A 27,904-nucleotide genomic window follows, 5' to 3' on the forward strand; every position below is an offset into this window, starting at 1 on the left:
AGGGAGGGAGGAGTGCTGGCTGCTTTCCGCCAGCGCCTCGTTTGGGTTTCGCTCTGCTGAGGCCTGAAGGCGCCCTGAGGGCCCCTGGGGGGCAGGGAGGGGCGGTGGCTGCGGCCGACAGCAAGGAACCTCCGGAGAAGCGAAGCCGGGCCAGACGTGCCACCGGGGCCTCGGCGCTGGCGAAGGGGCGCGTGCGGCCGCACTGGGGCCAGCCCCGCCCTGGTCCCCGGCCACATCCTCGAGACCACCGGGGTGGAGGGGGGGGTCTCACTGCTCAGGGCCCGCGTGACATTGCACAGGTTTAGAAACGCACAGCGGGAAGGTGGCCCCGGCGGGCCGAGGGCGCAGGATCCCTGCTCCGTCCAGGGTCCGTCCTGCGAGGAGGCGCCGGGGGCGGGCCCGGGGCGGGGCGGGCGGAAGGCGCGCGCGGGGCGGGGCGGGGACGGCGACGCGGCGCAGGCGGCGGGAGTGCGAGCTGGGCCCGTGTTTCGGCCGCCGCCATGGCCGCGGTGGACCTGGAGAAGCTGCGGGCGTCGGGCGCGGGCAAGGCCATCGGCGTCCTGACCAGCGGCGGCGACGCGCAAGGTGGGCGGGGGTCCCGGCCGCGTCGCGGCGCAGGGGGTGGAGGGCGCCTCCGCCCTGGCCTCTCCGGAGCGCCCGCCGAGCCCCGGGACCCGGGTCTCGGGCCGGCCCGGCCTCCCGCCCCGGCCTCCCGCCCCGGCCTCCTGCCCCGGGTCTGTCCCCCGCTCTTCCCCGGCGCGGTCTCCGGCCTACGTGCGGCCGGCCACGTTCTCGGCCTCCGCCTGGGTCTTGGCGCCGCCCGCGCCCTGCCCCGGGGGTGTGTCCGACTCTGGGCCGCGGGGCAGGACCTCCCGAGGAGTCCCCGAGGCCACGCGAGCGGAGGGCGCCGGTCCCGCCACCCCCAGAGCCTGGCCCTTCCTGGTTCTGAAGCGACCCGGGGACCCGGTGCCTCCCGAGGGCCGGCGCCAGGCTGCGGGCTTCCGGGACCTCCTCCCGGCTGGGCGGGGGCGGACTCACTCCCGGACCGCGCCTCCTCCTCGGGGCCCTCGCGGCCGCCTTCCTTGTGGGTCTAGCTGGGGAAGAGGGCGGTGGGGAGATGGGCTGCCCGGGGCATTGAGCAAAGCCCAGTTGTCACCCTTTTCGCAGGGGTACTGGGGAGGCCTCAGGTGGTGGGGACTGGGACTTGGCAGAGCTGGGTGGGGGTCCGGCCTGAGGGCGTGGTGTCCTCGCACGCTCCCTCCCGGAGGCCTGGTCCTGCCCACTGCCGGCCTCCAGTGTCTCTGGCCTGACATGTCCAGTGTGGCACCTGTGGCACAGGACGCCACCTACCCTACCCCTCAGGAGGAGAGAGGAGAGGATTTAGGAGACCAGAAGTGAGGTGCTGGGTTGGGAAGGGGCCCAGCCAGCACCCCAAGGCTGTGCAGCGGGGTCTGGTCTGTCTTTTAGAGTTCAGAAAATGGTTGAGAAAATGCGGACACACACCCCCACCCAGCTTCAGGCACCTGACCCTCCTTTTCCCTATCTGGAAGCCAGGAAGAGGCGAGAAGGAAGCCGGCCTTGAGTGGGACCAAGCCAGGGAGGCAGGAGTGGCTCGTGGGTGTCACTGTCTGAACCCCGGCCTGCAGAGGGGGCTCCTTCAGACCTGGCTGAGCCAGGCCTGTGGTGGCTGCCCACCCGCCCTTTTCACAGCTGTGGCAAGAGCGGGAGCTGCTGCTTGTTGCCGGCTACTGGCAGTGTCCTGGAGCCAGTGTGGCTCCACAAGTCCTGTCCTGTGTGGCTCTGGGTCACGCCTTTCCTGTGGGCCAGGGGTCCGTGTTGTCGAGAGGGGAGGGCGTTGTTCAAGGATGTCTTTTTGCACAATAACCTGTGCAAAGGTAGCTAGAAGACTTGAAGCAGGCCGGGTGCGGTGGCTCACACCTGTAATTCCAGCACTTTGGGTGGCCTGGTGGGTTGTGGGCCCAGGTGGGAGAGGAGGCCCGTGGCCTTGGAGGGTGAACTCGGGAAGCTCCATCCCATGAGATTAGACAAGAAAGGCCCCGAGTCTGGAGGGCAGACAGGTTGCTGTGGGGCCAGCCCGCCTGCCCACCAGGGAGGCGCTTTCTTGGTGAGGCTGGTGAAGCCCCAAAGCCCACCTGTGGTTCCCTGAAACACAGAGGGTCCCCAACCAGCTTCCTTGTTTGCAAAGTGGGAGCATCAGCAGTGGAGGGTTGGGAAAGTTGAGAGCCTGGGGTGGCACGTGCCCCCCCCACCCCCTGCCACCCCATGCACAGACTAAACAGAGAAGGGGGGCTCGCTGGAGGTTGCTGAAGGGCCAGCCTGGCAGGTGGTTCTTGGGCCAGCGGGGAGGGGCACCCAGGGTGACAGGCGGTTCTGGATGCTGGTGGAGGATCTGGAGATGGGATGCCCCTCCTGGCCCTGTGGACAGGCCGGCTGGGTGGGCCTCCCATCTCTGTCTGAGCTGGGGGTTCCAACTGCTCAGCCTGGCCCCAGTGCCTGATATGGAGTGGGCAGCGCTTCCTGGCTGCAGCTGGGAGGGTGCCCACAGTGCACCTGCTGGCCGATCATGGCATCCCAGTTGGGCCTGTGCCTTCCTCTGCAAATGTCCTCCCTTCCCAAGCCCCGTGCAGCTGCAGCGTCTCTGTATGTGAGCTCCCATGCGTGGACAGGGAACAGGTGGTTTTCTGCAAGGGAGGAGGACTCCACACACTTCCCCAGTTCAGGGCTGGGGCTGATTCATGGAGGATGATCTGGGGCGAGTAGGATGGGAGGAACTGACATTCTGGGCAGAACCAGAGTCCTGTTTCATGAGTTCGGAAAAGCAGTCTGCAGGGCTCTCCCAGGCCACCACTGCTGCTGCCGTGTGGCTCCCCATGGTGGGTGCTCTGTTTTCCTTCTCGGGGCCCCACTGCCTTCCTAGAAAGGCTGACCCTGGCCGAGGGGAAGCCTGTGGCATAGTGTGCCCTTCTCTTTGCCCTCTATGTCAGCCGGGCAGCAGGAGAGTGGGGACTGGGAGGCACTTTCTGCCCCAATGCTGAAGTCTGCGTTTGTTGGATGTATGGAACAGCCAGCCTCACCATCCTGCCAGTGTTGCCCAGTCCTGGGACTTCTCGGGCCTTGATTTCCCCTTCTGTGAAAGGGGGTTGGGGACAAGACAGGCCACCTTGCAAGTTCCTTCCAGCCAGCCCACAAGTCCTGTCCTGTGTGGCTCTGGGTCACGCCTTTCCTGTTGGCCAGGGGTTGGTGCTGTTGAGCAGGGGAGGGCGTTGTTCAAGGATATCTATTTGCACAATAACCTGTGCAAAGGTAGCTAGAAGACTTGAAACAGGCCGGGCGCGGTGGCTCACGCCTGTAATTCCAGCACTTTGGGAGGCTGAGGCTGGTGGATCACCTGAGGTTAGGAGTTCAAGACCATCCTGGCTAACATGGTGAAACCTCGTCTCTACTAAAAATACAAAAAATTAGCTGGGCATGGTGGTGCGCATCTGTAATCCCAGCTACTCAGGAGGCTGAGGCAGGAGAATCGCTTGAACCAGGAGGTGCAGGTTGCAGTGAGCCGAGATCGAGCCACGGCACTCTAGCCTGGGCGACAGAGCGAGACTCTGTTGCAAAAAACAAACAAGAAAAAACCCCAAAAATCAGCCAGGCGTGGTGGTACATGCCTGTAGTCCCAGCTACTCGGGAGGCAGAGGCAGGAGAATCGCTTGAACCGGGGAGGCAGAGGTTGCAGTGAGCCAAGATCCCGCCACTGCACTCCAGCCTGGGTGACAGAACGAGACTCTGTCTCAAAAAAAAAAAACAGACTTGACCAAAAAAAAAAAAAAAAAAAAAATGGCCCGGCCTGCCTATGCCTACCTTCATCTCGCCCTGGCCTGGGCACTTTTAATTCTCTGGGCCCTTTGTCTAGTGCCCCCTCCCTGCCCCTGCAGGACACCGTGCCCTGCCTTTCCCTGGCTGGTGTGTTTGGACGTTGGTTTCCTGTTATCGCAGGTGAGGACTTAGCTTCCTGGCCCGCCACGCCTCCCTGACATGGCCTCCTGTTTGGAGCCTTCAGGCTCATGCTTACATCCTTAGCTGATCATTAAACTTTGTGACCATTTCATGCTCACTGCTTTCTTGCCTGGGAGCTAATGGTGAGGAAAGGTCACTGGGAACCAGCGCACCAACCTCAGACATTGATTTTGTTCCAGCCTTTTTTCCTGGGCAGGGGTGGCTATCACCTGCTGGTAGGCAGCGGCAGGCCCACTGTCCTGCCTGCCCTCTGACTGCGGTGTCGGCGACTGCTGCCCGAGGTTTATTTTGAGAAAGAAAAGCCGATTAAAGGGCCATTAAAAAGGTCTTTTGAAGATTACAGCTTCCAATGAGGTTAACAGAGAAAATTTCCTCCTTCAGGCCGCAGCCAGTCCCGTTCTAAAATCCAGAACGTGTCCCTTTCCAGTCCCGTTCTAAAATCCAGTCCCAACAACAAAGTGGCCATGTGACATGGCCACTTTGTTCTCCTCCCAAGGGCTCAGCACAAAGCTGGGTTTTGGCAGCTTCATTGTCTCCGGGCGTCAAAGCAGGTTTTATTTTGCAGAGCACCCTGAAGACATTTGGAAGTGAGGGGTACCCTTGCTGACCCCTGATCCTGGGGCCCCTTTGCCGTTCCCAGGTCCCCTGACAAGCCCACCAGGCCCCCTGCTGAGATGGCTGTGACCCTGGGCTGACCCGCCCAGTGGCACATTGACTCCGCCTGGAGCTGGGGAGACCAGAGAGGCCCTGTGGTTGGACGGTGGCCTGGGTGCGCTGCTCCTGCCCTCTCCTTGCCCTGCCTCAGCTGCTGCCTGCCAGAGGTGGGCTTGGACCTGTGGTGGGACCAGGTCTGCAGGGAGGGCGAGGGAGGGACGGAGGCTTAGCTTCGGCCAGCTGTGGCTGAGTGGATCTCCCTCACTGCCCCCAACTCCAGTGAGGGTGGGGGACAGGGCGCTGCACTCACAGCACCACCTTGGACGCCCAGCCTCAGGCAGCAGGACTTGGCTCTGCTGACTGTTTTTGGTTGTCGGGTGCTTGGGGTGGCTCAGCTGTCTGGGGGGGGCTCGGCTGTCTGTCTCGGGGGGCTTGGCTGTCTGCGGGGGGCTCGGCTGTCTGGGGGGCTCGGCTGTCTTTCTGGGGGAGCTTGTCTGTCTGTCTGGGGGGCTTGGCTTTCTGGGTGTGTGTGGGATGCTTGCTGGGTTCCCGCCCCAGTTTCAGCTGTAGCAGCCGTGCTCCCATCTATGTGGGGATGTGAGGGAGGCACTGTTCCTTTAGAGACGGCGTTGCTTGCTCAAGTGGAGAAGCTGCCAGTGTGGGCAGCTCCAGCTCCCTGCACGCTCTGTGCTCTGCCCATTCTAACGTCTGTGCCCCTTCTTCTGGATGGCTGCCGGGCTTGGCTCTGGCCCCCCTGTTGGATCCCCTGGCTGCTGGGTGGGGAGAGGGCCACCTACTGAACCTGAGGGTGGGTCTGGGTGAGTCCTGGCTCTGCTGCCACCTGCTGGGCTCTGGAAGGTCCCTCACCCTCCCTCTGGGATCTCATTGGATTCCTGTAGTGTGGGGATGGTGGCAGATACTCTGGCTGCTACGTGAGAACAGTGTGCCGATCCCTGGGGTTTCTCAAGGCGTGGCACCTCACCTCACACCTGCTCCCTGCTGCTGAGCCCCACGCCAAGCTGGAGAGCGGATGAGAAGCATGTGTAACCAGGGTAGAGGTCGAGAGTCCTCTCGTGGGGGTCTCCATGTTCAAGGGAGCTGCCGAGGCTTGAGCAGGAGCCCCCAGCAGGTCAGCACCTCCAGCCTCTGCAAGTACAGGGGGGTGGGAGGGCAGGGGCTTTTGAGGGGCACGAGGCTTGGGGACAGAGGACCCGCATGGCTTAGGGATGGATGGCATGGTATGGGTGCTGGGAGGGAGGCAGGAAGAGCAGGGCTGGTCCCAGGGGCAAGCACAAACTCAGGCCTGTTACACGGCCCCAGACCTCACTCAGAAGGGGACCCTGGCCGCTGGCGTGGGTTTCCTCCTCTCTGAAGATTAGGTGGTCTTGGCTGCCCCTTTTGTATGAAGTCATGGATATCTTTTGAGATGGGGGCTCTCGGGAAGAAGGTGTGGGGTACATTAGCACCAGCGTTTCCTGAGTGCCGCCTCCCCCGTTAATGTCCCTCTCCAGGAAACTGGCTTTGCCAAGGCCCCCGCTGGGACAGACTGTTTCTTTCACTGCAGTCCTGGGAGCCGAGGGCAAGGGGACAGGAAAGAGGAAGTGACCTCAGAGCCTGGTGGCACCAGCATCATGTCCAGGCTGGGGGGTGAGGGTCCCTGAGGCCCTGGGGCAGGGCAGTGCTGTTCCCTGGGTGGCTGAGGCCGGAGGGGCTCTGTTCTCAGTCCCCCATCTCATTGCGGAGGAAGGAGCCCAAGCCCCTTCCAGCAGGTGCTTTCCTCAGTGCCCAGAGGTGCTCCCCGGCTTCTCCATCCCCACGCCGCAGCCTGAATGTCTGGGGTGGGGCCGGTGTGGGAGGTGCCGGCCTCTTTTCCACCTGCCCCACTTTTTATCCTGCTCTGTGGTCAAGGCCTGGCCCCGTGGCCTGTGAGTGTGGGGGCTCCGTGGCAGAGGTTGGGGCGGCGGGGTGTGGAGTTCGGGACACCCACACATGCCTGATTGCCATGCTCTGCATGGGATGTTCCCAGTTTATCTCTGGGCACCATACTCCAGGTGCTCGGAAGCTGAAGCCTAGAGCCTGCTGGGTTCACCCGAGCCTCCACCCGGGGGCCCAGGGCTGGTCCTCAAGTTTCCTGGCCTGGTGCCTCCTGAGATGGGGAGGGTGACCAGGCCTTCCCTACCCCCTGCCCTCTGAGATGGGGAGGGCGTCCGGGCCTTCCCTGACCCTTGCCCTCTTGAGATGAGGAGGGTGACCAGGGCCTTCCCCCACCACCCGCCCTCTGAGATGGACAGGGTGTCCAGGCCTCCCCTACCCCCTGTCCTCTGAGATGGGGAGGGTGTCCAGGGCCTTGCTTCTCAGCGTGGGACTGACAGGTTTGCCCTGACCTCCACAGGCATGAACGCTGCTGTCCGGGCTGTGACGCGCATGGGCATTTATGTGGGTGCCAAAGTCTTCCTCATCTACGAGGTAAGGCCAAGGTGGGCTGTGTGTGTGCAGGGAGTGGGGACCTCCTGAGGCGCATGCCGAGGTGTGTTCTGTGTGGGTCACACTGGGAGACGGGGTGGTCCTGGCCTGGAGGAGCTGATGGGTATGTGGTCTTGGGGAGTGTGAGGGGGAGCTTGGGGCCAGGCCAAAGGCATCTGCAGAAAGAAGACCTACTGCCTTGGGACTCAGCCCGGCTGGAGGCTCAGAGGCTGCAGAGCACGGGCCTGGGGGCAGGGAAGGAGCTGGGTGGACAAGGAGTCGAGGCCCTGCCTACAGTGATCGCTGACGGGCCAGGCCCCACCCACCACACCCCTGCCTGGTGTCCCCCAGCCTGGCCCTTGTCCCGCCCCGAGGCCTCTGTGAGTGGGGGCCAGGGACCTCACCGCCTCTGCCCTTGTCCTCCCCAGCCTCCTGCCTCACCACCCAGACCCGGGGGGCAGCCGCTGGCAGCAGCTCTGCTGTGTCTATGTTCATTGTGTCCCCGCAGGAGCAGCGGATGCCCTACTGCCTCAGCCCCAGTCCCCGTGGGAGATTTGGGGCTCGCCCTCCGTCCTGGGTATTTACACACCCACACTTGCGCTCACACATGTGCACACACAGGCGCATTCACACACTTGGGCCACACCACGCACTCACAGGCTGCATTCTTGCCTTGTCAGGTGGTTTTCCACATTCCACAAGACAAGGTCTTTTGTTATTTTGTTGCCACTTTTTATGTAATATGTAGCTGTTTATATAAAATGTAGCAACCCCAGCTCTGCAGCCCCAGGCACTCAGCCCCACCCCCCTCACTGCTCACTGCTCGCTGCTGACCACTCACCGCCCTGGGTCTCAGTTCCCCCATCTTGGCCCCAGGGAACAGCAGCCTGTCCAGCCCTCCCTCTGCAGGACTGTGTGAATGAATGAGTGAGTGGGCAGTCTGTGCTGGCCCGTCCTCTCCCTGTGGCCAGGCTGGGGCCCTGCCAGTATTGGATTAGGAAGCAGGTCTCAGAGCCCTGGGGAGCTGGGTGTGGGGGCCTCTCTAGGCAGGCTGGGCTGTGTCCGTACAAACCCCTCCTGCCACCTGCTCGACCTTCAGTTTCTTCTTCTAAGTGGCAAAGGGGAGAAATTAGGGTTTTCCGGAACCCCCACACATTTGTGGTTGGGAAAGACTCCTGTGGCAAAAGACAGAAAACAGGTTCATCGGTGCAGGGCGTGTCCTGGAAAAGGGGAGAAGAGGCACTTTGCCGTGCCTAGAGTCCTGGCTTCTGCAGAGCCCAGCAGAGACCAGTGCACATGGAGAAGCCGAGGGGTACAGGGACGCAGCGTGAGGCCCTCGGAGGTGGGGGAATGCAGGAGGGTGAGTTTATGGGAAAAAGAATGAAGTGGGTGGGCGCGGGTCCTGGGGCTGTCTCTGGGTCCTGAGGGCTGTGAGGGGCATTTACATCCTGTCCAGGCGGTAACAGGAGGAGCCTTAGTCTTGGGATGCTGTGTGCTGCTTTCCTCTCAAAGGGAGGCAAGGCTGAGAGCTTCCCTGAATCTGCTGCCTAGTGGGCTTTAGCTCAGAAACATCCACATCTAAGAGGCAGATTTTGAGATGAGACATTCTGATATAGCGGCCCAGGGAAGACTTCCCCTCCGTCCCATGAAGGTTCTTGGAAGAATCCACTTGCGAAAAGCGGATTAATAGGGCAGAGGTGCTGGCATTCATTGTGAATAGGCATGGAGAGGTAGGGCGAAGATGCTGACCTGCCCTCCTCCCAGGGAAAGGGGCATGGGCAGCCTGGATGATTCTAGGGGGGTAGGAATTTTTTTTTTTTTTTTTTTTGAGACAGAGTCTCATTCTGTTGCCCAGGCTGGAGCGCAGTGGCACAATCTTGGCTCGCTGCAACCTCTGCCTCCCAGGTTCAAGCAATTTTCCTGCCTCAGCCTCCTGAGTAGCTGGGATTACAGGCACCCACCACCACGCCCAGCTGTTTTTTGTATTTTTAGTAGAGACGGGGTTTCACCATGTTGGCCAGCCTGGTCTCGAACTCCTGGCCTCTGGTGATCCACCCGCCTCTGCTTCCCAAAGTGCTGGGATTACAGGCGCGAGCCACTGTGCACGGCCATGAATGGTTTTTAGGGGATTCAATGGGCTTGGACAGCATCTGTTAGCCCTGGTGACCACCTGCCCAAGTGTGTTGGCAGACACAGGTCTTTCTTCCTACGATGACCTCAGTGCATGGAAACTCAGGGAGGGGACTGGCCGTCACTGTTCCTTTCTCCAGCAGCTATGGGCTTTAGGCAGATTCGGGGGCTTCAGGGAGCAGCTGCATCCTGAGCTTGGAGGAGGCAGAGGGTCGAGAGGCAGAAGGGGGAGGTCAGGGAGACCTGCGGCTGCGTCAGTTCACATCAGACTGCATTTTGGGTTTCTGAGCCCCCAGCGCTGGCTTCCTTCAGCAGGGAGACCGATCCCTTCTCCTTGGGGCTATTGTTAGGGCAGAAAGGGAGGGTGGCCTTGGAGGTGAAAACCCTTCTCAGTTCTGACACAAAGGAGGGCTCAGAACAGGCTACTCTTATCCCCCCAGGCAGAGCCCACAGCATAGCAGGGAGGGCCCTGAGCCTGGGTCCAGGCCTGCAGGGGTGAGAGGAGGGGGCGGGGCTAGAGGGGAAGGAGGGGAAGGTGAGCTGGGCCTAGGAGGACAGAGACGGAAACAGAGTGGGTAGAGGGGGGCAAACAGCTTCTAGAAGATTCCAAGGGTAGGAGGAGGTTGTGTCTGTGAGACTGATTCCAGCAGAACTGAGCCACTGGCCTTGTGGGGTCTCTGGGGACTGCTGGGCTGGCCATACCTGCCTGCCCCTCCGCCCAGTGGGGCAGGGGCCTGGCTGGCGCCTGGGCTCTGTATTGGATCCTGAGTTTTGCAGACAGACCTGTGTTTGGTGGCCTCCTGCTCAGGTGGGGCTGTGGGTTTGGGATCATTTTCCTGTTTTCCTTGTTCCTAGCTCAGGGCTGGTACAACCAGAGGGGGCCAGGCTGGCCTGGCCTGAGCCGGAGGAAGTAGCTCTGTGGTCCCTCAGATCAGCCCCTGAGATGGGGCAGGGGCACCTGTCCCCCAGCCCAGCTGGTGGGGAAGGGAGGCTGTCAGGCTAGAAGCCCGCCATGGCCAGAGTGGGGATGTTCATGCGCCCCGCAGCGCGCACTATCCCTTGACCCCCTGCCTGCTTGAGGCACTTGCCCTCCTGGCCCCCAGGGCCCTGACACCTGGTTGGGGAGAAGGCGGAGGGAGGAGCAGAAGCCCACAGCTGAGCTGGCATCCGCCCTGGCCGAGGAATGGCTGCTCCACTGCCTCACCTCACGGCCTGGAGAAGGCTGCTGATGCCATGGAGGGACCGGGGCTGCACGGAGGAGGCCGCCCTTCTCCTCTCCACACCCTTAGTGAAATGCAGTCATGAGTGTCCCTCCCCTCAAACAACAAGAAAGGGCTGGCCGTGCAGTAGGAAACGGGCACGTGGCACGGAGGCTGTGCAGGTGCCATCTGGGAAATCCCAGGTAGAACCGCATGAGAGGCAGATCCACGGTACTGGATGGAAGGCCCAGTGTGGCCGGCGTGGCGGGACGCGGAGCCTGGAGCCCCTGCCTGGGGTGTTGCCGGCCCTACGAGCGATGGCCACTCGGGTCCCCTGGACCCAGGAGCTCCCTCGGGTGGGGGCCCGCCTGTAGGGAGGTGTGTGTGTTCTCAGCTTCCCGCTCTGGCGGGCAGATGGTAGCCTGGGCTGTTCACACGGCCGCCACACAGCAAGAGCACGCGCCGCACACCCCGCCGGCCGCATGCCTGGGAGGACTCCAGTGGGGACAGAAGGAGCCACGCACAGCAGCCTCTGTGGTGTCATTTCTAGGATGTTCAGAACAGGCAGACCTAGGATGCACCCTCAGGAGCTGGATGGCGGGCTCCGCTGGGGCCTTCGGGACGCTGAACTTGCCTGTGTGGATCTGGGTGGGGTGAGGGAGCTCAGACAGGCCCCTGCACCAAAGCACTTGCCACAGGAGTCACGCCCCGGGACACACGGACTCACCAGCTGTGCAGAGGGTGTCTGGAGCCCCCTAGGGGGCACCCGGACCCTGTTACCCAGGCCCTGGGATGATGGTGGGGCCTCACAGTCAGCACCCTGGTCCTGCTTTCTGCTGGTGGGGTGAAAATCCTGCTCCCAGACCACTTGCTGCCGGCCGCCATGGGGTCCCCTATCTCATGCCTGCCCCACTCTTGATTTCAGGGCTATGAGGGCCTCGTGGAGGGAGGTGAGAACATCAAGCAGGCCAACTGGCTGAGCGTCTCCAACATCATCCAGCTGGTGAGGCCTGGGAACGCGGATGCATGTTGCACTTGGACTCGCAGACAGACACACAGAGACAGACCTGCACACACAGACACACACACAGAGACAGACACGTGCACAAACACACACATGCAGACACACAGACATGCACACAGACGCACACACACACAGATGTGCACACACACAGATGCGTGCACACACAGACCCGTGCACGGACACACAGGCGCGCACAGACACAGACACGTGCACAGACACACACAGACATGCACACATACAGACACACAGACGTGCACACAGACACACAGACGCGCACACAGACACACACAGATGCACACAGACATGGAGACAGATACACATGGATAGACACATGCAGACACATAAATACACAGATACACACGTAGACACACAGATGCGCACACAGGTACACAGATACAGAAACATACAGACATATGTACTCAGAGTCACACACACACGTGCCCCATCGCACAGGGACTCAGGTTCAGGCCGACCCTGTCATCTGCTGCCATGGAATTGTTGGGTCGCAGGGTCATGGGGTTGCCAGGGGCCAGGAGGACCTGGAGACGTGGCCGTGCTGGGTCCTGGGGGAGCCCTGGCTGAGGCTGGCTATGAGGGGCCACGTGAGCGCACCTGGAGCTGCTGAGGCTTGAGCCCTGGAGGCCCTGGCCGGTTCCCTGAGTTGGTACAGGGCCTGTGTGTGCACGTGTGCACGCACATGTGTGTGGCAACCTATGCGTGTGTGTACTGTGCTTTCCAGTCTCCAAAGCCTTCCACTCTATTACCTTGGGGCTTCCCAAGCCCAGGACCGGACGGACATCATCCTCCTCTTTGTCTCTCCAAGGAGAGAGGCCCAGGGAGGTAGGGCCACCTCAGGTTTCCAGAGACCCCGGGGCTTCTGCCTCTCACTCTGCAGGGTCTGCCAGCCCCTTGCTGCCCAGTCCTGGGGTCCCTCTGGTGATCCCCAGGGGCTGTCTGCCGCCTGCCATCTCTCCTGAAGTTTCTGGTCTCCTCTGTGCAGGGCGGCACTATCATTGGCAGCGCTCGCTGCAAGGCCTTTACCACCAGGGAGGGGCGCCGGGCAGCGGCCTACAACCTGGTCCAGCACGGCATCACCAACCTGTGCGTCATCGGCGGGGATGGCAGCCTCACAGGTGCCAACATCTTCCGCAGCGAGTGGGGCAGCCTGCTGGAGGAGCTGGTGGCGGAAGGTGGGTCTGTGCCCGGCGCACTGTAGGCCCTGGGGTTTTGTTTTGCCGCTGCTGCCAGGCGTGGGAATGGGCAGGACAGAGGGACGAGGGATCCCTGGGTGCCCCGAGGCAGAGGAGGGGCTGTCTGGCCGTTGGCCGGGGAGGAGTAGTGTCTGCCAGCACGAGCTCAGATGTCTCCCAGAGATGGAGGTCAGTGCTCAAGCCTGAGGGAGGGCACCCAGGCAGTGCATGGGGCTGGTGGAGGCCGGTGTTGCTCACCCTACGCTGCGTAGACAAGTCTTCTCTGTGATTGATCCGAGTGAGATTCTGGACATGCATGGTCACAGTCTGCAGAAATAGAGTTGAAGTTGGGGTGACATAAGACACAGAGTCCCGAGATTGCTGCTTGGAAAGTGGCCTCTCGGAGCCATGTCTGTTCCATGTCCCTCATGTGGGGGACCCTGATGTGAGGCCTTGGCCGCTCTGCAAGGCACCCCAGAGGTCCCCCGTCTGCACTTGGCCCCAGCGGATCCAGCCATGCTGCCACAGGGTTCCAGGCAGGAGGAGGCTGAGCCTGGAACTCCGGGGCCCCTGCCGGGCTGCACGCCTGGGATGCGGGGGAAGGGGTGGCAGGAGAGGGGTCTCTGGCCCTGTGGTGGGGCCAGTGGAGCCTCAGCCAGGTCCTCCTGCTGCTCCTGGCCCAGGTAAGATCTCAGAGACTACAGCCCGGACCTACTCGCACCTGAACATCGCGGGCCTAGTGGGCTCCATCGATAACGACTTCTGCGGCACCGACATGACCATCGGCACGGACTCGGCCCTCCACCGCATCATGGAGGTCATCGATGCCATCACCACCACTGCCCAGAGGTGAGTGAGGCTGGCGCCGGCGGCCAGCCCAGGGCCCCTCCTCCCCGCACGGTGGTGAGGTGGTCTCAGGGTGACGGCCATCTGCAAGGGCAGTGGACTCTGGTAGCCCCAGCATCCAGGCCAGCCGCCCTCAGCCCCCAGCTGGGGGAACGCACAGCGGGCTCCACTCCCACTCTGCCAGGCCGCGGGGGGCCTTTGTGCAGCCCCTTCTGAGGGGCAGCTGCTTGCCCTGGGGTGTGACGCCCCCAAAGGAAGTCCTGGGCTGGCCAGGCCTGGGCTTGGCAAATGACCCTCAGCCTGGGAGGAGATCAGTCGAAACCAGCCCAAAGGCTGGAAGGATCCCAAGGTATCTTTTAGCTCAGAGCCTGGGCATGAGAAGGGGCTGTCCCCTGCCTGCCTCTCCATCCACTGGGTCCCTTGAGCACCCCGCAGGGAATCGGGCTGGCAGGGCCGTGTGGCTGGCACTGATGCATCCTCCTGTTCCATCTCCACAGCCACCAGAGGACCTTCGTGCTGGAAGTGATGGGCCGGCACTGCGGGTGAGGAGGGGCTTCCTGGCCCGCTGGGTGGCCCGGGTGCTGCTGGGGACCGCAGTGACAGGTGTGGCATATTTATTCTAGGGCTCAGTTAATGCCATGGGTGTGAGAGAGCCGGGTGGGGGCCGGGAGAGACAGAGAAGCTGTGGCCCAGAGTCGGACCTCTGGGTACAGGGAAGCTCCCCTCAACGGCTGGGTGGGGGTCCTGAGCAGGCAGGCGCTCGCTCCTCCAGGTACCTGGCGCTGGTATCTGCACTGGCCTCAGGGGCCGACTGGCTGTTCATCCCCGAGGCTCCACCCGAGGACGGCTGGGAGAACTTCATGTGTGAGAGGCTGGGTGAGGTGGGTGCCGTCCAGCCTGCTGGGGGCCGCAGGTGTCCTGGTGCACTGGGTAGCGCCCCTGGGGTTTTGGGACCAGCCTTGACCAACTCATCTATCACTCATGGGTTCATCAGCAGCTGCAGGTGCCCCTTGGGGGCGGGACACGCAAGGAGTGGGGGGCTACGGGGCTGACCTCAGTGAGGCACCTGTGGTCCTGCCCCCAGTGGGCAGGAGGCGGAGAGGGTCACTCAGGCTGCCGCCGCCCCAGGCTCAGCCCCGTGGTCAGTGTGGGGAGCTTGGTGAGGCTGCTTACTGGGGTGGGACTGCTGAGCCTGGGGCGGTGGGAGGTGGTTGGTTGTGAGGGAGTGGCCCCAGCAAGGTCCAGACGGCAGGGCTGTGGGGGTGGCGAGGCCAGGAGCTGGGCCAGTGGGGAGCAGGGCCTTCCCCTGAGGGCGGTCGGGGCCCGGGGGTGGGTTCTAGGCTGGAAAGATGTGTCGGAACGTGGCTGTAGCCACAGGGTGGACAGGAGGTCCCGGAAGCAGGAGAGGGTGGGGAGGCTGCTGGGAGGCCGAGACCGCCTCTGGGAGGGATGGGGGGGTGCCTGGTGGGGAGGGGTGTGTCTGGAGTGGGGGTGCCTGGAATGCCGCCCTCTGGTTCCCTTGGGGTGGAGTTGGGGGCTCTGGCCTAGAACAGGCTGACACTGCCCTGTGGACCCTGAGACCCCTCAACTGGGACAGGTCGGCCCCTTGGTGGGGTGGGGCTCAATGGTGGACCAGAGGCACGGGCCATTCAGGCTGTCCTTCGCCCACACCCGACCATGCAGGGCAAGGCCAGGGGCCCCCGTGGCTCTAGCTCTGTCCTCTGTGCGCTGAGGCTGAGGCAGGACCACTGGAACCAGCCCTGGGGGCAGAGGGTGGGTTTGGGACTGACACGGTATCCCTGTCCCCGTGTGAAGGTGGCAGCGTCACTCCCATCTGTGTGGACACTGGTTCCACCTCCGCGTGGCTGTACAGTGCTGCCGAGGGCAGTGGGAGAGGCCGTGGGTAATGACCTGGCTTCTAGAACCTTCCCCAGTGGAGCCTAGGGGCCGGGCGGAGATGGAGCCCAACAGGCGAGGCTGGCCCAAGGTGCGGGTCCTATGAGGGGCTTGCTCTCCTAGGGCAGGGACTTCCCGGGGGTTCCGGCTCCAGTGGTGACCTTGGCCTTAGCTTATGTCTGTGACTCACATTGGGCCCTCCTGGAAGTGGCCTGGATGCAAGGTCGGCCCACCTGGTTCCTTCCTGCTCTGTGTGAGCAGCTCAGGCCCTCACTGAGAGTCTGTTTCCCCCTGTAACATGCGGGTTCCCGCCTTGCCCACCACCCAGGGTGCACTGGGGCAGGGAGGGTGGCACAGCTCTCCTGCTGGACCTGCAGCCCATCTTCCGGGTGTCTGACCTCACCTGCACTGGCGCCACCTCCTCCAGGTAGCCCTCCACTCCCACCACACCCGGGCCCTGTCTGAGCTGCTCCAACCCTGTCCCTGTAGGAGGCATTGTGGCCCGTGGTGGGCAAACATGGGGCTTGTGGCTCAGAGCGAGTCCCACAAATGTTGGCTGGGTCATTGAAGTGGACGGCCGAAAAGCTCTTTCAGTTCCCAGAGAGCTGGGCCGCGGCTGGTGTGTGGTGCTGAGGCAGCAGCCTGAGGCTGGCAGAGGGGATGGTGTGTCCTATGTGCACCAGTGTGGACCCACAGTGGCTTCAGGGTGCAGGGTGTCCGGGGAGCCCTGGCTGGTGCCAGCGATGCGGGGCCCCTGGTTATAAGGATGAGCAGATGGAAGCTCACAGGGGCCCCAGGTACCTGGCCCAGGCTAGCCCGGGCAGGCCCCTCTGCCCTGTGCCCCGTGGAGCTGCAGCCCTGTGCGTCTTCCCGCCTGGAAGGCTTCACCAGACACAAGGGCCCAGCCCCAGCTGTGTGTGTGCTGGGCCCAGCCCCGAGGGCCCCCTTCCTCCCCTGCTGCCCTTCCCAGGCTTTCGGGCAGAGCCCTCTTGTTCACCGCCTCCAGGAGGGCGGGGCGTCCTAGTGGGCCCAGCCTCATCTCTGCCCTCGCGCTCCAGGCCTGCTTTCCTCCTGCTGGGTGGGGATTGTGCCCTGGCCCATGTGGGTTGGGAATGGTGGCCCCAGGGAGGGCTCCTGGCACCCGGGGGCTGTGTCCGGGGCAGGTTTCCCTGCCTGGCAGCTGAGCCCTGTCGTGTCTTTGACCCAGACTCGGAGCCGTGGGTCCCGACTGAACATCATCATCATCGCTGAGGGTGCCATTGACCGCAACGGGAAGCCCATCTCGTCCAGCTACGTGAAGGACGTGCGTGTGGGCCTGGGGGTGGCCACTGGGCACCTGCTCCTCTAGGCCGTGTGGGCTGGGGCTCAGGGCTGGTCCTTCCCACTGTCCTGCAGCTGGTGGTTCAGAGGCTGGGCTTCGACACCCGTGTAACTGTGCTGGGCCACGTGCAGCGGGGAGGGACGCCCTCTGCCTTCGACCGGATCCTGGTAAGTGGCCATCACCCTGCCCTGCGTACGTGCGTGGGTAAGCGTGGTGTGTGGGTGTGGGTGTGGGCAGTGTGCACGCGAGCATGGCACGTGCACTGTGTCCATGTGGCTGTGGGTGAGTGTCCGTGTCTGTGTGTGGGGGTGTATGTGTGGGGGACGCGTGGTCCTTGTGGGTGTGTCTGTGTGTGTCTGGTCCGTGTGGGTGTGTGTGGCAGTGTGTGTGGGTGTGTGTCAGTGTGGGTGTGTGTGGGTGTTCCCTCAAGCTGTTGCTCCTCCTGGGGGAGACTGAGGCCTGGCTTCTCCGTTCCCCTGCAGGTATAGGGAACTCAGACCTGGGGACCATGGGAGGCCCCCCACCAGCCTGTGCCTCCTGGCTGTTCTGACCCCCACCCTCTGCCAGCCCAACGTGGCAGCAGTCAGGGCCAGGGGCAGGCCCTGGGAGAGGGGCTGGGTGGGCAGAGGGTGGTGCCCATGGCGCCTGTGGCGTCACAGTCTGGGAGGCTGGTGCTGGGAGGGAGCATTCGGGGTCTGGCCTGGCCTCGCCGTCCTTGGTCCTGATCACCGCTGGGTCTCACTTTGTCCTCTGCAAAATGGGAATGAAGTTGGAGCCAAATGGAGTGGGTCTGGGGCCAGGAAGGCACCATGGTAGGCAAAATGCCTGTGTATGAGGGTGGTCACCCTCTCAGGCAGGGCCAGAGACTGTCAGACAGGTGGGACTTGTGCTGAGGGAGACCAGGTGACTGCGCCCAGCCCTGTGACTGCACCTGGCCCTGTGACTCGTGTGCTGAGCCGAGCATTCCCAGGGAACCCACACAGCTGGACGAGGGCCACTCTATAGAGGGGAGGCTTCCTCAGAGAGGGGCCCCGCCGACCTAGCCAGGCAGCTGCTGTCCCCTCTGTGAGGCCTCAGGCTCACTCTGAAGAGCCTCTTGAGGGGCCGGGGACATCAGGGCAAGCCAGCCGCTGCTGAGCCTGGGGTGATGGAAATGCCGCTGCTGTGACCGGGCCAGCCATGCACTCCCAGCCTGCAGGCTGCTGGGTTTTCCAGCCAGTGTCTTGGATGCCTGATGCCGGGTGTGAAACAAAGGACAGTTGATCGCCCCTAGCCGCGGCTGTCACCCAGAGCGTCAGCATTCTTGTGCTCCCTGAGCCCGTATTCCCACTGGGTGCTGCGAAGGGGCCAGGGGACCCTAGCACGTGCAGTGGTAACCTGCACTTTTCCAAGGAGCCTCATCCTGCATGGGGGGTGTCTCCGAGGCTGCTCCCTAAACAGCGTCCTGGAGAGACTGCCCAGAATAAGGTGCCGCCTGTGCCTCACTTGCAAGATGAAAAAACCTGTGTGGAACACGGAGGGCTGTCTGTGGCCCCGGGGGTCCAGCTGCTGGGCTTCTACAGGGCTGGCCACTGGTGGTCATGGGACGGCCACGGCAACCGCAGGCCTGGCTTTCTTGTCCACTGTGGCCGGTTCCCGGGGTGGGGCTGGGGCCTGCCTTTGCAGTGTGTCCCTGGGGGGCAGCTCCTGGATGTGTCCTCTGCCCAGCCCTTTGGCCGGTGCGGACACACACCAGGGAAGTCACGACATGAGGGCCTCCACGGGAGGATCCATCGCAGCGGATGGGGCCCTGGGGACCTGGCTCCCGCCCTTGCCTTGCGCGCCTAGCGATGGCAGCGAGCGACGGTGGGTGGGTCGCATTGCATGGCACCCTGCAGCCAGCAGTGCAGGCTGGGCCTTCCAGCAGGGCAGCGAGGACTCTGTGAAATGGTGTCTGGTGTGCCGTCGTGAATGCTGGTCAGACACGTTTCCATCTCTGATGCCACCTGTTCTGGAAGCTTCCGTCAGCGTGGGGGGCTCTGGAAGCTGGGGTTTGCACATCTACAGAGGATGGGCATGTGGCTTGGGGTAGAGGGACCAAGTGGGTGTGCCAGCCTGAACCCTTCCCCACAGAGCAGCAAGATGGGCATGGAGGCGGTGATGGCGCTGCTGGAAGCCACGCCTGACACGCCGGCCTGCGTGGTCACCCTCTCGGGGAACCAGTCAGTGCGGCTGCCCCTCATGGAGTGCGTGCAGATGGTAAGCCCTGGGCCCCCCCCATCAGAACCGCCTGGCCCCTCTCCCCAGTCCCCACTCACAGGCCCCACTGCTCTCTGGGGGCCCCAGCACTGTGAGCACCGGAGGGCAGGGCCTCGTGGCTGGCCCAGGGCATCCCAGGTCTCCAGGGAGGGGAGGGATGTGAGCACATCCCTGGGTGGGACGTGGGACCTGGGACGTTCCCCAGGAGGTGTGTCGGAGCTGCAGGGAGCCTGGTGAGCATGGGAAGTCACAGGGGTCCACGGCCACTGAGCTTCTGTAGGCAGTGGTGGGAGTTGGGGTTACGATGGGACGGAGGAGGAGGGGCCAGTGATCAGAGCAGAGCCCTGGGAGGAGCTCAGGCAGGTGATGGGGAACACTGGGGTGGCTGGAGCAGGGACCCCAGGAGAGGAGGTACGGGGAAGGCAGAGGCGAGGGGGCCGGGTGTGGGGGCTGGTCCAGCCCTGGCTCGGTGGGTTTGGAGGCCTGCAACTGGGGCAGAGTGCCCTGCCTGGAGCTGGAGCTGCTGAGAGGTGAGGAGGGCAGCTGGGGGCAGGGTAGGGCCTCCTGGTCTCAGCCAGCCCCAGAAGAGCTGGCCTTGGTGGTGACCGCTGTTCCTAGGGAGAGGCTGCCAGGCCTGGGCCAGGGTCAGGAGATGCCGGCCAGATCTGCCCTCGTCAGGCCCACCAGACAGGGCAGTAGCCATGGGTGTGCGGGCCAGGCTCTCCATAGTCTGTGTTCTGTTTCTCTTCCTTAAGACCAAGGAAGTGCAGAAAGCCATGGATGACAAGAGGTTTGACGAGGCCACCCAGCTCCGTGGTGGGTAAGCCCCCTCAGCAGACCCCTGCACTCTTACATGGCTGGGTCCCGGTGCCAGGCAGCATGTGCTGCAGTGGCGCTATGCACGCCTGGCCTGGGTCATCCTTCTAGGCACCGCGTCTGAAGATCGAGGGAGGAAGGGGCCTGCGGGTGGTACAGGAGGCGGGCTGGGAGGTGTGGTACCACAGGAGACCCTGGGCGGTGGCACGGGCAGGGCCCAGTGCACAGGGATCTGGGCATGGCGAGGGGATGAGAAGCTGTGGATACAAGCCCAGGACATGGGGTGGCCCCGCGGGGGCTGGGAAGGCTGGCAGATGTTGGGTGTGGGTACCACCCCCCTGCAGGCGTCCTGGCGGCCGGGTCAGGCTGGATTGGACGTCTGGGTTCCCATGCGTGCCTCCACCCGCTACCAAGGTGGCCAACCCTCCCTTGAGCTGGATGCCGGCCACGTGCTTTGCTGCACGGGCTGGCGTGGCCTCGTGTTGTGTTGGGGGTCTCGCACCTTCTGTGGAAGGTGCCCTGCCTGGCATGCGCGGTGTCTGCTGCCTCATGGCTGAGCTTCCATCGGGCCGTGTGCCTGTGACCAGCCTCCTGGGCTCTGTCACGGCTGCGCTGTGGCTGTACGCCGTGGCGCTGCAGGGCTGTGCATGGTGTGACCCGAATCCCTTCCAGGAGCTTCGAGAACAACTGGAACATTTACAAGCTCCTCGCCCACCAGAAGCCCCCCAAGGAGAAGGTGAGGCAGGGAGCGGCGCCCACAGAGGGAGGAACGGGCTCAGTTATTCTGCAGCCTCTTCACGCTGGCCCCGTGGCTGGGCCTGCCTGCCCCCACCTTCCCTCCTGCTGGGGTCCGAGCTGTGAGCTGGGAGGGTGGGCCTGACCTCTGCCTGGGCTCAGGCACCACTGTGGCTGGCAGGTCCCGGGTGCTGGGACCCTGGCTGCAGGGCTGGCTGTTGCTTCTCAGTGGTGGATGGAAATGAAGTCAGGCCACAGGCTTAACTCAGGAGAGGAGAAGCCATTGTGTAGAAAATGTCCCCCGGGGCCAGGCTCACACCTGTAATCCCAGCACTTTGGAAGGCTGAGGTGGCCAGTTCACCTGAGGTCAGGAGTTCGAGACCAGCCTGGCCAACATGGTGAAACTCCGTCTCTACTAAAAATACAAAAATTAGCTGGGCGTGGTGGTGGCACATGCCTGTAATCACAGCTACTCAGGAGGCTGAGGCAGGAGAATAGCTTGAACTTGGGAGGTGGAGGGTGCAGTGAGCCGAGATCGTGCCATTGCACTCCAGCCCGGGCGGCAAGAGTGAAACTCTGAAAATAAAATGTTCCCAAACAGCTGAAAACCTCAGGAAATGGGATCTCTCCAAAATAAGGATGAAATGGCTTGTTTCTAAAGTCCTGGGGGACGAGGGTCCTGTAGAGAGAGTCACGGCCAGTGAGGTCCTGGCTCCCAAGCCCCTTGAGCCACAGCCGGAGCTGCAGGCCGGGGCAGACAGCGTGGCCCAGCCTGAGTCTGGTCCTCCCTTCCATGGACATCTTTGGGTGTCCCTGCTGCTCCAGCCTCCTGCTTATCCCCAGAGCTAGTCAGCGGGCTCTACCCTCCGTGGTGGGGCAACCTGGTCTCCACGAACCCAGAACCTGGCAGGGGCGTGACTGGCTTTGTGGGCAGCAGGGCTGGCTCGTACCAGGACCCAGTGGGGCCATGTGGCTATGGAGCCCTTGGGTGTGGCTGCTGCCAAGTGGGATGTGCTGCACGTGACAGGTGCACGCCAGGTTCAGAGCCTCAGCACGGTGGGTGGAGGGGAGGTGGTGGCGGCCGTCACTGGATTCACATGGATGTGGTGGGGTTTTGGGTCCATCAGGTTAAATTAACTGTAGTCCTGATGGGACTGTCTCCATGTCTTTTCCCTTCCCTTAACGTGGCTACTAGAAAACAGGATAGCCAGGGCCCCTTCCTTACTCGTGGCTGTGCACCCCCCACCCTCCCGCCCGCTGCCAGCCCCTTGTGTGGGCACTGACCTGTGTTCCCGCCCGCAAGCCTGGCTTCACAACAGTGCTCGCCCCTTCTGCCTCCTCTGTTGCCTGCGTGCCAGGGGGCCAGGCTTGCACCGTGTCTCTTTTGGTCTTCACCAGAATCTTCTGGAATTAGAACAGATACCGTATTCCCAGGGCAGTTGGGCGGTGTGCTGGGCAGCGTCCAGGCTGCTGGCAGGGCCTGGCCCCTTTTTCCAGAACCTGCCGGCCTGCTGACCTCCTGTGCAGGTTGGGGGTCCCCTCCCCGGCTGTGCCTCACGCTCATCTCCCCTTCTCTCTGAAGTCTAACTTCTCCCTGGCCATCCTGAATGTGGGGGCCCCGGCGGCTGGCATGAATGCGGCCGTGCGCTCGGCGGTGCGGACCGGCATCTCCCATGGACACACAGTATACGTGGTGCACGATGGCTTCGAAGGCCTAGCCAAGGGTCAGGTGGGTCCGGCCGGGGCAAACAAGTGAGGACTTGGGCCTTCTGTGTGCACACTTGGGGCATTTCCTGTGGAAGGCCGGCTGCTGGAGGTGGAGGCTGAGACCTGGGTCCGCGTGTCGGTGCCCACCCGGGCCTGGGTACTCAGCTCTGCCTGCAGCGTGATGCCCAACACTGGCTGGCCCCCGGGCACAGGCCCACCCCTGGGGGGAATTGGCCAGAGGCTCAGGCTGGCCCCTGAAGCTGCATCTCCTCCTGGCAGGTGCAAGAAGTAGGCTGGCACGACGTGGCCGGCTGGTTGGGGCGTGGTGGCTCCATGCTGGGGACCAAGAGGTGAGCTGCCTGCTGCGGGTACCTGGGGGCAGGAGGGCCAGGGCGCAGTATCCAGGCCCTGCAGGTGGGGGCGGCAAGGGGAACCCAGCCCGGGGCCCTGGGCTCGGCCCCTCTTCCTGCTGGTGGTCTGCCCAGAGCAGGCTTCACGCCTCCTGCCTGGGGCTTCCTGGCCTGAGCTCCGCTGTGTAGGGCAGGCTGCTCTGGCGGCCCCATGCCCATGGTGGGCTCTCCGTGGCAAGGAAGCTGGCGAGCGTCTGTCCCTGCCTGGCCAGGCCAGGCAGCCTGCACTGTCAGCACTCTGGCTGAGGCTATGGGCCTGTCTGATGGCTTTTGTCCCAGGGCCTGAGACCCTTCTGTGGGCATGGGGTGGGCACAGTCCCCCTGTGTGACTACAGGGGAAGTTGCTGAGTCCTGAGCCACTGAGTGGCTGCAAGGGCCAGAGGAAGCATCCGCTCCTGCCGCTGAGTGTTGGGCGAGAAAGCCTCGGGCAGGAAGGGGTTCCCACGGGGAGCCCAGCGGGGTGGGGGGTTCACTCGGTTGCCTGGCCGGTGCCTGGTGATGCTGAGTGGTGCCCAGGCGGCTCACGCTGGGCCTGTGTGTCCCTCTCCGTGTGGAGCCACAGCGCCACATCCCGGGCATTGCAGCGACTGCTGACTGGCTCGGGGAACGGCCAAGGCAATGCCTTTCTGTGATCAGATGCAATCTGGACACGCGTCCCCGGGTGCTGCGTGTTCATGCGGATGTGTCTTTGACTGCAGGACCCTGCCCAAGGGCCAGCTGGAGTCCATTGTGGAGAACATCCGCATCTATGGTATTCACGCCCTGCTGGTGGTCGGTGGGTTTGAGGTGAGAGCTGCCCACGGACGAAAAAGCCCCAGGGCACAGGAGACCCAAGGTGTCCTCCCGCCGAGGGGGCCCATCCTGAAAACCCGTGTGCTGGCTGGGCCGATGCAGGGGCCGAGAGGGTCGGGGTTTTAAGTGCTGTGTGTGGGCTCGGGAGGGCACCCGTGTGCCAGCTGGGCTGATGCAGGGGCCGAGAGGGTTGGGGTTTTAAGTGCTGTGTGTGGGCTCGGGAGGGTTCTTTACTTTCTCCGGAAAGCTTCACAAGGTTCCGATTAACCCCAGTGCTGGGGAGGGGCAGGGGAGGAAGGGGACTCGGAAGCTGGAGGACGAGAAAGAAGGGAGGCGGAGGAGGCAGAGGTGTAGGTGCTGGACGGCATCGCTGAACGTGGTGTCCTGGCACTGGGCAAGCTGTCACTAAATAATGAATAAATGACAGCCCTTCCCCCTTGCCCTCCATGGAGTGGATCTGGGGTCAGAGTGGGTTGGAGGAGACTCCTGACCCTCCTTAGAGTCCAGTTTCCCTGGTAGGCATCCTGAGATGACACCAGGCTGACTGCCTGGCCCAGCCCCAGGGGATTGAGCAGGTGGGTCCTGGCGTCCAGCACGGGGCACATGACAGGTCAGCAGGGAGCAGGGCTGGGCGGCCGCCGGCAGAGCCTGTCCCCGGCCCACCCTGGCCTCGGTGCTGCCCTTGACCTGCCCCGTCCCTACTGCTGCAGGCCTATGAAGGGGTGCTGCAGCTGGTGGAGGCTCGCGGGCGCTACGAGGAGCTCTGCATCGTCATGTGTGTCATCCCAGCCACCATCAGCAACAACGTCCCTGGCACCGACTTCAGCCTGGGCTCCGACACTGCTGTAAATGCCGCCATGGAGGTACGGGGCTCCTGGACACCGGCCTGCCATGCCCAGGCCCTTGTGGGGTGGGGCTGAGCCTACGGAGGCTGCTGGAGGGGATAGTGTGTGGTGAGCACCTGGGAGGGCTGCCAGGGTTGGGGTTTGTGGGGCACAGGCCCGGGTGAAGGGGCTCAGCTCCCTGCCATAGCCACTTCCAGGTCCAGGGGGGCCCTGCGTTGTTCCTCGCTACTGTGATGAGCTCAGATGGGGAGACTGAGGCGGGAATGTCCCTGCGCCCCAGTGCTGGGTAGTCTAAGAGCAGCGCCTGGCCTCTGTCCAAGGGTGCCAGGGACACCCCTGCCCACTCACAGCCAGTGTGTGTGCAGGCTGCTGTCCACTGTGCCCTGGGGGGTGGGGTCGCCTGGTTGAGAACCCCTGGTCCTGTGGGGCCCAGGTGGGAGGTGGGCCCAAGCCTGGTGCTGCTGGCTGTCTGGGTGCGTCAGCCCCAGGCTGGCTTTGGAGACACAGGGCTCCCTGCAGGGTAGCCATGCCGACGGCCTACAGGGAAGGGTGGGCACGTGGAGGACCCCCGACCCCCCCTTGTCCCCCAGAGCTGTGACCGCATCAAACAGTCTGCCTCGGGGACCAAGCGCCGTGTGTTCATCGTGGAGACCATGGGGGGTTACTGTGGCTACCTGGCCACCGTGACTGGCATTGCTGTGGGGGCCGACGCCGCCTACGTCTTCGAGGACCCTTTCAACATCCACGACTTAAAGGTGAGCCCAGCCCAGCCCCTGCTGCGGCAGACCTGCCGGCATGCCAGCCTGGGCCCCAGACACTCAGGCCGGCCAGCGCAGGGCAGGGCCCGGGCAGGTGGGACGCGTAGCCCAGTGCTCCTGCTGGCCCCGGATCGCCGGTCAGCCTGGAATTCCCTCCCCACAGTCCTCCGGCTCATCCGTGTCCGCCCCTCCCGCAGGTCAACGTGGAGCACATGACGGAGAAGATGAAGACAGACATTCAGAGGGGCCTGGTGCTGCGGTGAGGCTGCCGTGGGTCCCTGGCCACAGCTGCGCGTCCAACTCTCGGGGCTGGGGTGGGGCTGCTGAGGAGCGGCTGGGCAGGAGAAGGCAGGAGGGGTCCTTGGAGAGGGTGGGCCAGGGCGGCTTTCCTGGGAGCTGCCACTCCCTCTCCCAGGCCTGGCCCAGCGGGGACTCAGGATCGGGGGGAGACCTGAACTCGTTCCCGCCGACTCAGGCCCTGCTGCCCCTCTCAGGAACGAGAAGTGCCATGACTACTACACCACGGAGTTCCTGTACAACCTGTACTCATCAGAGGGCAAGGGCGTCTTCGACTGCAGGACCAATGTCCTGGGCCACCTGCAGCAGGTGTGGGGCAGGGGTGAGGCTCTGAGAGGCCTGCCCCTCTTTCCTGCCACCATCTGTCCCCGGCCCCAGGGGTCCCAGCCCTCACGGGCACCCACGGGCACTCCCGGCAGGCCCTCGGGCACGTGTGCCCTTCCCCAGTGAGGGGACCGAGGCCTGTATCTAGGTGAGGTCTCATTTCAAGAAGGGGTGGGGCTGGGGCTGGAGCCGGGGCCCGAGCCAGGGCATTCACATGCTGAGCCGAGCTCCCCACCCCTGCCAGGCCTCCCGCGGCCACTTCCGCCGAACCCCTCACCTAGATCCCCGCATGCTCCCTGCCTTATGGTGGCCCTGCAGGAAGCCCGCGTCCTGGGGTTTTCTGAGCCAGGGAGGGGAGTCAGGGTGGCTGGGCATGGGGCCCGAGGTGATGGGGCCCGAGGTGGGGCCGCTGGCTGCCGATGCAGGGCCCAGGAGTCACTTGACTTGGCCAGGGGCAGCCGACTGCCGGCCTCGGGAGGCAGCTTCTGGCCTGGACTTGGAGCTGGAGAGAGCAGGCAGGGTCCTCGATCGGGAACAGACGGGAACGGTGCACGGGTTGGAAGGAATGGGTGTTCACAAGCTGCCTGGGAGGCTCCCCGTGGGGATCCTGTCTGCACTGGCGTTGGCCTTGGCCCAGGCAGCCCAGGGGAGTCCAGGGAACCGGGCCTCACCTGTTTCCAGGGTGGCGCTCCAACCCCCTTTGACCGGAACTATGGGACCAAGCTGGGGGTGAAGGCCATGCTGTGGTTGTCGGAGAAGCTGCGCGAGGTTTACCGCAAGGGTAGGTGGTGGGTGCGACCCGAGGCCTCACTTTGCCCTCCCCTGGCTCCCTGGGGCAGGGCCTCACCATGGAGGGCTGCCACGTGCCTCTGTTTGCAGGACGGGTGTTCGCCAATGCCCCAGACTCGGCCTGCGTGATCGGCCTGAAGAAGAAGGCGGTGGCCTTCAGCCCCGTCACTGAGCTCAAGAAAGACACTGATTTCGAGTGAGTTCCACCAAAGCCTCGTGGAGGCGGGTGGGGCTGAGGGGTGGCCCAGACCTTCCCTGAGGCAGGTGTGCCAGGCCCAGCCCCACTGGCACCCTGACCCCGCAAGGCCTCCTGGGCCCCCATGCCCAGGTCCCCGCCAGGCCGTGGAGAGCAGGGACCATGCCCAAGTCTTCTGAGCACAACACTGGGCAATCCTTTCGGGTGGGCATGGGGGCACAGCGGGTAGCCAGGAGTGGGCACGCTTGAGGGCGGCTGAGGCTGACTCTGTGCTGTGCCTCCGAGGGATGGGGACCCCAGACCTGTCCCAGCTCCACGGATACCGAGATGTTCAGACAGAGGGGCATGCACAGGCTGCAGGGTCGGGGGGGGTGGGGGGGCTGGGGACGTGGCTGAAGAGCTGCCCTGACCCCTGACTCCCCATCATCCTCCCATCCCCGTCCTGCACAGGCACCGCATGCCACGGGAGCAGTGGTGGCTGAGCCTGCGGCTCATGCTGAAGATGCTGGCACAATACCGCATCAGTATGGCCGCCTACGTGTCAGGGGAGCTGGAGCACGTGACCCGCCGCACCCTGAGCATGGACAAGGGCTTCTGAGGCCAGCCATGCCCACGCCCCTCCCCAGCCCCCACCCATGCCAGCGCAGCGCCAGGGCTCAGATGGGGCCTGGGCTGTTGTGTCTGGAGCCTGCAGGCAGGTGGGGGCTGCGTCCCTGCTCAGCCCATCCCCTGCCTCTATCCCTGGCCACCTGCCAGGCCTCCCTCGGGCTGGTGTCTTGAGACCAGCCTGCCAGGCCCTCCAGCAGGAGGACAGAGTGCCCTGGGGCATCCACCTTCCTGCCCAGGGGACGTGGCGCTGTCGGTGTTTGGAGGCTGCTGCCCCCTGGCTTTGGCGCCCCATGGGCCCTCAGCGTCTCCCCATGCTGGGCTCACTACATGGGCCAGCCCTTGCTCTACCTGGCCGGTAGGCTGCTGGCGCCTAGGTTGTGTTGAGAGGGGGATGCCCCTGGCCCTGCCTCACTGTGACCTGCTCCTGCCCACGTGCAGCACCTGTCACCTTTTCTAGAAATAAAATCACCCTGACTGTGGGGTGCATCGGTCTCCGGAGAGCACAGCCTGCAGAACTCCTCAGAGAGAGGGGGGAGCAGCACCGAGCGGCCAGCCCAGTGGGCAGCAGCCCCAGGGGTGGAGGGCCCTCTGGCCAGTGCCTGGGCCAGGTCAAAGGGACATGTGCCCTGAGAGGCC

At 63.7% G+C, this 27,904-nt stretch overlaps 1 protein-coding gene across 12 annotated transcripts, besides 8 other annotated features; it reads left to right on the top strand.

The window, feature by feature from the left end:
- Positions 1-670: a silencer, noted in NCBI's record as "silent region_13379". NCBI's record gives its function as "represses an Ori minimal core promoter by ATAC-STARR-seq in GM12878 lymphoblastoid cells {active_cell/tissue: GM12878}" and the evidence as "EXISTENCE:reporter gene assay evidence [ECO:0000049][PMID:35858748]".
- On the top strand, positions 448-27,768 carry PFKL (phosphofructokinase, liver type). 12 transcript variants are annotated; one of them, XM_047440822.1, is made up of 26 exons: positions 448-585; positions 4,670-4,850; positions 5,583-5,812; positions 6,195-6,330; positions 7,076-7,149; positions 7,655-7,723; positions 11,401-11,478; positions 12,500-12,689; positions 13,373-13,538; positions 14,033-14,077; positions 14,308-14,416; positions 16,639-16,734; positions 16,827-16,919; positions 18,865-18,990; positions 19,746-19,810; positions 20,479-20,542; positions 22,124-22,270; positions 22,528-22,598; positions 23,357-23,444; positions 24,161-24,313; positions 24,886-25,050; positions 25,251-25,312; positions 25,548-25,659; positions 26,356-26,455; positions 26,554-26,659; positions 27,110-27,768. In XM_047440822.1, exons 3-26 carry the CDS (start codon positions 5,714-5,716, stop codon positions 27,255-27,257), a joined length of 2,562 nt encoding a protein of 853 aa, XP_047296778.1. In that variant the 5' UTR covers positions 448-585; positions 4,670-4,850; positions 5,583-5,713; the 3' UTR covers positions 27,258-27,768. The 12 variants fall into 12 exon arrangements, with proteins under 12 accessions (XP_047296778.1, XP_006724074.1, XP_024307853.1 ...); XM_006724011.2 differs by having other exon boundaries at positions 5,652-5,812; XM_024452085.2 differs by lacking the exon at positions 7,655-7,723.
- Positions 691-1,140: a silencer, noted in NCBI's record as "silent region_13380". NCBI's record gives its function as "represses an Ori minimal core promoter by ATAC-STARR-seq in GM12878 lymphoblastoid cells {active_cell/tissue: GM12878}" and the evidence as "EXISTENCE:reporter gene assay evidence [ECO:0000049][PMID:35858748]".
- Positions 2,474-2,613: an enhancer, noted in NCBI's record as "active region_18568". NCBI's record gives its function as "activates an Ori minimal core promoter by ATAC-STARR-seq in GM12878 lymphoblastoid cells {active_cell/tissue: GM12878}" and the evidence as "EXISTENCE:reporter gene assay evidence [ECO:0000049][PMID:35858748]".
- Positions 5,179-5,978: an enhancer, noted in NCBI's record as "H3K4me1 hESC enhancer chr21:45724667-45725466 (GRCh37/hg19 assembly coordinates)". NCBI's record gives its function as "activates a minimal SCP1, AML or CMV promoter by ChIP-STARR-seq in naive H9 embryonic stem cells {active_cell/tissue: H9 hESC(naive)}" and the evidence as "EXISTENCE:reporter gene assay evidence [ECO:0000049][PMID:30033119]".
- Positions 6,018-6,672: an enhancer, noted in NCBI's record as "H3K4me1 hESC enhancer chr21:45725506-45726160 (GRCh37/hg19 assembly coordinates)". NCBI's record gives its function as "activates a minimal SCP1, AML or CMV promoter by ChIP-STARR-seq in naive H9 embryonic stem cells {active_cell/tissue: H9 hESC(naive)}" and the evidence as "EXISTENCE:reporter gene assay evidence [ECO:0000049][PMID:30033119]".
- Positions 6,673-7,326: an enhancer, noted in NCBI's record as "H3K4me1 hESC enhancer chr21:45726161-45726814 (GRCh37/hg19 assembly coordinates)". NCBI's record gives its function as "activates a minimal SCP1, AML or CMV promoter by ChIP-STARR-seq in naive H9 embryonic stem cells {active_cell/tissue: H9 hESC(naive)}" and the evidence as "EXISTENCE:reporter gene assay evidence [ECO:0000049][PMID:30033119]".
- Positions 7,982-8,635: an enhancer, noted in NCBI's record as "H3K4me1 hESC enhancer chr21:45727470-45728123 (GRCh37/hg19 assembly coordinates)". NCBI's record gives its function as "activates a minimal SCP1, AML or CMV promoter by ChIP-STARR-seq in primed H9 embryonic stem cells {active_cell/tissue: H9 hESC(primed)}" and the evidence as "EXISTENCE:reporter gene assay evidence [ECO:0000049][PMID:30033119]".
- Positions 11,158-11,207: a silencer, noted in NCBI's record as "silent region_13381". NCBI's record gives its function as "represses an Ori minimal core promoter by ATAC-STARR-seq in GM12878 lymphoblastoid cells {active_cell/tissue: GM12878}" and the evidence as "EXISTENCE:reporter gene assay evidence [ECO:0000049][PMID:35858748]".

This window comes from Homo sapiens, chromosome 21 (assembly GCF_000001405.40).
Source record: "Homo sapiens chromosome 21, GRCh38.p14 Primary Assembly".
Classification (NCBI taxonomy): domain Eukaryota; kingdom Metazoa; phylum Chordata; class Mammalia; order Primates; family Hominidae; genus Homo; species Homo sapiens.

Bases quoted from the DNA above. Each gene is read 5' to 3' on its own strand.
- PFKL (XM_047440822.1), top strand. From the start codon at position 5,714: ATGAGAAGCATGTGTAACCAGGGTAGAGGTCGAGAGTCCTCTCGTGGG. The intron at 22,271-22,527 runs GTGGGTCCGGCC...TCCTCCTGGCAG, and splicing joins AAGGCCTAGCCAAGGGTCAG to GTGCAAGAAGTAGGCTGGCA. The intron at 25,313-25,547 runs GTGAGGCTGCCG...TGCCCCTCTCAG, and splicing joins CAGAGGGGCCTGGTGCTGCG to GAACGAGAAGTGCCATGACT.